Source organism: Homo sapiens, chromosome 1 (genome assembly GCF_000001405.40).
Source record: "Homo sapiens chromosome 1, GRCh38.p14 Primary Assembly".
In the NCBI taxonomy this organism is placed as follows: Eukaryota; Metazoa; Chordata; class Mammalia; order Primates; family Hominidae; genus Homo; species Homo sapiens.
The window spans coordinates 21,479,275-21,485,274 of record NC_000001.11 but is presented as its reverse complement, the minus strand read 5'-3'; the positions used below and the strand labels follow the sequence as shown (position 1 = coordinate 21,485,274).

Below are 6,000 nucleotides of genomic sequence, written 5' to 3'. Positions count from 1 at the left end.
ATATGTGATGTTGAAAGTCATAATTTAAAACGTATAAACCAAATATTAGAAGTGTGTCTAGTTCAAAGGGGGGAAAACTATGAAACATTTTTAGTCAATATCAAACATGAGCTACACAACCCTTCCTAAATGCCAGAGGCACACGCAGACACACACACACACACTCTCACAAAGAATATAAATATCTAGAACCAAGAAATGGAGTACATGCATTCTGCTACATATGGTAAACATAGCCTACAAGGTGGAAGAGATTAGAAAATAAACAGGGAAATGAAAATGTTTTTATTAATTCGCATCAGTACCCACCAAAACCAATCAGCATAACAAAAGATTATAACGCTGAATGTAAAAAACAATCCAACAGTCCAGAGTGATAGGCAAAAGTTTTTAATTGTATAGATTAAAATAACTTTGGACAAAAATTAAAACTCAGGCAGAGAATGTTTTTTTTTCAACAACACACACTAGCAAAAACAAAGGCACAGTAAACATTGAGGCAGCAAATTTCCAGCGTAGAGATATGAATATAATAATAGACACAGGCAGGGATGATTAATAAATGATAAAACGTTTAGAGGATGATCACTGGAATACAGGACATTTCTACTTTGAAAAACCACTCTCCCAAATACTTCATCATAAGTAAGGTGTCTCTAAAAGGGACAGATCTCCTAGACCCCTCCTTAACCAAGTAACCAGTCCTGATATCATGATAATGCTGATGGACAAACTAGACCTTCTCTGCCCACAGATGGGCTGAGGTTGGAAACTCACAGTATCGACTCTGTAGTGTTCTTGATGAAACGTTTAGGCTGAATTTAATCATGAAGACATTTTCAGACAACTTCAGAATGTAGACCATTGAGCCAGACAGCTGACCTGTCCTCTACAAACAAGTCCATGTCACCAAAATCAATGACAACAACAAAAAGATGAGGAAATATTTGGGGTTCAAAATAACTAAAGAAATGTAGCTACATTATCATTTACTTCTTCTGAACCCAAAATATCTCTCCTCCTTTTTGTTGTGTGATTCGTGGTGACGTGGACTGTGTGAAGGAGACAGGTCAGTTGTCCTGCTCAGTGTTCTACATTCTGCAGTTGTCTGGTGATTACCTCCTATGAAACTCAGGCTAAGCATTTTCTGCAAGAACATGGCATTGTTCATATTCTGCACTGGCAGAGTCCCAGGTGACATGCTGTCTCTTGCCAGCGGCTCCTGACTCCTGTTCTTTACAGGATGGAATTGAAAGGAGCAGGACTAAGGCCTCCCAATGCTGTTTGTCCGTCTAGCTGTGGTCTTCCTAAGTATTGATATCAATTGGAGGCTGAAGGACTATGGCTTCTCTACTCAAAGGAGCCTAGTGGGTTAACAACTGTCAAGAGCAGTCAGTGGTTCTGAAATACAATCCTCAGCCAAGGATCCCTCCTGTGTTACAGATGGATCAGCTAAAACAAACCAACACTGAAGATACAAAGAATGGGGTTAGGTTCAATGAAACCAGGGTAACACCTTTGGATGAGCTAAACACAAAGATGACACTGACCTTGAGCAGGTATAGAAGCTCAGAGACATGCCTGCAAAATGAAACCCCTGAGGAACTTTGTAGCTACCCAGAGATATCTGGTTCAAATTAGAATGTCTGGCAGATCACTCCCGGCATGTGCTACATAGTCGTGTGAACGTGTCACACCTAACTTGGGTCCAACGTCTTCAGACTGAGCACAGGTGGCCACTGGCATGGTCTGAGAATAGGAATAGAGCCATGCCCACTTTCCCATCCTATGACTGGGCTTCCAAAGGGAACTACAGTTTCATTCAAACCTACATGTGCCTATACGTCCTGCCTGCAGCAATGACATCTCTCAGCTTAGTAAGGGCTGCTTAGTGTGGGAATATGACTCCCATCTGGAAGGCCAGGTGGTGCCTTATCACTGTCAAAGTAAAAAACCTATTGTCCACGTCAAGGGCCAAGCTGACGTCCTGTTCCTCAAATGAGTAAAAGGCACTTCTATACTGCTGGAATGAGGCATGTAGTTGAAAGTAAGTTGAAGTAGTCGAATAACATCTATCCAGTGAGTCCTGCAAGACTTCAGGCTCTTCTGCTTCCATCAGCACCTCGTTGAGCCTGGAAAAGGAGACAAAACTAAAGAAGCAGCCAGGGAAAATCAGACACCACAGAGCCCCAACTAGATTTCAGGGGTAACATAAGGAAGTGGTCAAAAAAGGAAAAGGATAGTTCCATTAATGAGGTAAAAAAATTATTGCCTTTATGTTGGGATAGAACAGGGCCAAGTAGAAAACAATGAAAGAGAAAGACAGAGAGTGAGAGAGAGAGACAGAGAGAGAGAGAAAGTGAGCTCAGTGAATTGGCCAGGTGACACATTGATGAGGGAGTAAAAGGACACTGTGAGTTAGTGCCCTCAGGACACACAGCAAACAGTGATCATGAGAAGAGTGAGCTCAATAGTTTTCCATCAAGTGTGCTTAAAATTCCATGCAGTCGCCATAAGGGTACAACTTCTGAGGTATGGTCAACCTATGGTACATTAGTAAATGATAAGGGGAGGAAGAAATGAAAACCTAAACGTCTACTGCAATGAAAACCAATAGCAATGTCAGCAGGAGTAATTCAGCCTTCATTGAAAACATGAAATCAAACACACTGTTTTCCCTGGATCTGTTGTCTCCAGGTGTTAACACAGAATTAAGCGACCACAATTGCTGAAAGTTACCTGGGGCATGGTGGCTTTTGATCTTCTTCCCCTTCTTGGTACTTTTCAATTTCTGCAATAAATTCAGACATGGACAGACACATTAAGCTGATTCCCCTACACACATAACATTCCACTGTCTAATCCTCACACAGGGACCTCAGGCTCCTCAGCATAAGAATAGGACACTGTGAGAGATATATTTCAGGAGGCCTGAAGGATGGTCATGATAGAGATTCCTTGGTTTTTGTCCCAGAAACTAAGGGTAAAATGTCCCTATTCTGGTAGATCATTATCCCAATATCATTTGTCCCAAGTTTGTGCAAACGGTTATGCCATATCTTTCCAATCAATTTAAAGCAAATGCCCTCAAACGATTTCTAGGAGAAAAACTGCAATATTCAGCCCTGTCTCATCAAATACTCAGATTGTTCATAGTTGTGAGGATTTTAGACACTGAAATTAGAGTGAGAAAGGAAATCTACAAACCCTTGAGTCAAAATCATAGTTCTCTGAATTTGTCCCATCTGCCCAGGTCCAATGCCTTGAGAGTAGAATCAGAGTGCCACAGGCATGGCCTGAGACTAGGAAGAGAGCCACGCTCACTGACCCATCCCATGTTTGGGCTTCCAGGTAGAACTAGAGTTTCGTTCAACCTATATGTGCCTATAGGTCCTCAGTGCAGCAATGACATCTCTCAGCTCAGTAACGGCCTCTTAGAGCAGGAATAGGATCTCTATACGGAAAACTCAGTGGATCCTTATCACCCTCATAGAAAGGTACTCACCATCCACGTCAAGAGAAAAGCCAACGTGTTCTTCCTCCAATGAGTAAAAGCAACTTCCGTAGGGCTGGCATGAATCAGGCAGTTCTGGATAACTGAAAGGAGTCGAATACCATCTATCCAGTGAGTCCTGCAAGTCCTCAGGCTCTACTACCTCCGGCAGCTCTCTGCTGAGCCTGGAAAAGTAGAAAAAGTAAAGAATAAGCCAGGGGAAATCAGACACCACAGAGCCCCAACTAGATTTCATGGGTAGCATTAGGAAGTGGTTAAAAAAGAAAAAGGATACATCCATTAATGAGGTAACAAATTATTGCCCTCAGTTGGGATGGCACAGGGCCAAACAGAAAAGAATGAAAGAGAAAGACAGAGAGACAGAGAGACAGAGGCAGAGAGAGAGAGAGTGAGCGCTCACTGAATTGTCCAGGTGACACACTGAGGAGGGAGTACAGGACACTCTGAGTTAGTGCCCTCAGGGCACACAGCATACAGTGATCATGAAAAGACTGTGCTCAATAATTTTCCATAAAATGTGCTCAAGTTTCCATGCAGTCACCATGAGGATACAGCTTTTGAAGTATGGTCGACCTACAGTAGGTTAGTAAGTGATAAGGGGAGGAAGAAACGGAAACCTAAATATCTACTGCAATGAAAACCAATAGCAATGTGAGTAGGAATAATTCAGGCTTGGTTGAAAACATGTAATCGATAATGTCGGCCTGCTCTGCTTTCCCTGAACCAGGAGTCTCCAGGTGTCAACACAGAATTAGCTGTTGACAATTGCTCAAACTTACCTGGGGCATGGTGGGCCTTGGTCTTCTTCCTCTTCTTGGTCCTTTTTCATTCCTGCAATAAATTCAGACAGGGACAGACAAGATAAGCCAATTCACCTACACCCATTAACAGTCCACTGTCTAATCCCCACACAGGGACCTCAGGCTCCTCAGCATGAGAACAGGACAATGTGAGAGATATACTTCAGGAGGCCTCAAAGCTGGTCATGATAGAGATTCTTTGGTTTGCATCTCAGAACCAAGGGTGAAATGTCCCTATTCTGGTAGACAGTTATCCCAAAATCATTTATCCCAAGTTTGTGCAAACAGTTATGCCTTATTGCTCCCATCAATTCAAAGAAAATGCCCCAGATGATTTCTAGGAGGAAAACTGCAGTATTCAGCCCTGTCTCATCAAATGCCCAGCTCATTCGTGGTTGCAAGACACTGAAATTTGAATGAAGGAGGAAATCTACAAACCCTTGAGTCCAAATCATGGTTCTGTGAATTTTTTACACCTGCCTGGGTCCAATGTGCTGAGAGTGGGCTCAGGTTGCCACAGGCATGGCTGGAGACTAGGAATAGAGCCATGCTCACTGACCCATTTCATGTCTGGGCTTCCAACTGAAACTACAATTTCATTACAACCTCTATGCGCCCACGGGTCCTGCCTGTGGCAATGACATCTCTCGGGTCAATAAGGGCCACTTGGAACAGGAATATCACCCATATCTGGAGGACCAGGTGGAGTCTTATCACCTTCATAGTAAGGTACTCACTGTCCAAGTCAAGAGCCAAGCCAAGGTGTTGTTCCTGCAATGAGTAAAAGTCACTTCTGTAGGGCTGGCATAAGTCAGGCAGTTCCAGGTACTCAAAAGGAGTTGAATAAAATCTATCCAGTGAGTCCTGCAAGACTTCAGGCTCTTTCTCATCCAGCAGCTCCCTGCTGAGCCTGGAAAAGTAGGAAAAGTAAAGAATAAGCCAGGGGGAATCAGAAACCACACAGCCCCAGCTAGATTTCATGGGTAACATAAGGAACTGTTTGAAAAGAAAAAGGACAGATCTATTAATGAGGTAACAAATTATTGCCTTCATGTTGGGACAGACCAGGGCCAGGTAGAAAAGGATGAAAGAGAAAGACATACACATACACACACACACACACACACACACACACACACAGAGAGAGAGAGAGAGAGAGAGAGAGAGATAGTGAGCTCAGTGAATTGGCCAGGTGACACACTGATGAGAGAGTCAAAGAACACTCTATATTTGTGCCTTCAGGACACACAATGAACAGTGATCATGAAAAGAGTGGGCTCAACAATTTTGCATAAAATGTGCTCAAGCTTCCCTGCAGTCACCATGAGAATACAGCTTTTGAAGTATGGTCAACCTTCACTAGGTTAGTAAATGAGAAGGATAGGAAGAAATGGAAACCTAAACATTTACTGTAATGAGAACCAAAAGCAATGTTAGTAGACATAATTCAGACTTGTCTGACAAGATGAAATCATCATTTTCAGCATGTACTGCTTTCCCCGGACTTGGCATCTCCAGGTGTCAACATCAAATTAACTGTCCATAATTTCTCAGACTCACCTGGGACTTGTGGCCTCTTGGTCCTCCTTTTTCACTTGATCACACCAATGTCCTGCAAATAAATTCAGACAGGGCCTCTTACATGAAGCAGTTCTTCCTTGCACACGGAAACATTCCTCTGTCCAA

General features: G+C 42.9%; 1 protein-coding gene across 15 annotated transcripts in view; it reads right to left on the bottom strand.

Annotated features, from left to right (window-relative positions):
- Positions 1-374: 374 nt before the first annotated feature.
- NBPF3 (NBPF member 3) overlaps positions 375-6,000 on the bottom strand; it is a 48,112-nt gene continuing 42,486 nt past the window's right edge. For all 15 annotated transcript variants that reach the window (NR_046176.4, XM_047432037.1, XM_047432038.1 and 12 more), the window contains 6 exons: positions 5,875-5,926; positions 5,052-5,224; positions 4,294-4,345; positions 3,506-3,678; positions 2,740-2,791; positions 375-2,132 (listed from right to left, as the gene is read on the bottom strand). Coding sequence is in view for 14 of the 15 variants with exons in the window: in XM_047432037.1 (XP_047287993.1) it covers positions 1,889-2,132; positions 2,740-2,791; positions 3,506-3,678; positions 4,294-4,345; positions 5,052-5,224; positions 5,875-5,926 (746 nt within the window). In the remaining variant the exon portion in view is untranslated. The remainder of the gene's footprint in view (positions 2,133-2,739; positions 2,792-3,505; positions 3,679-4,293; positions 4,346-5,051; positions 5,225-5,874; positions 5,927-6,000) is intronic.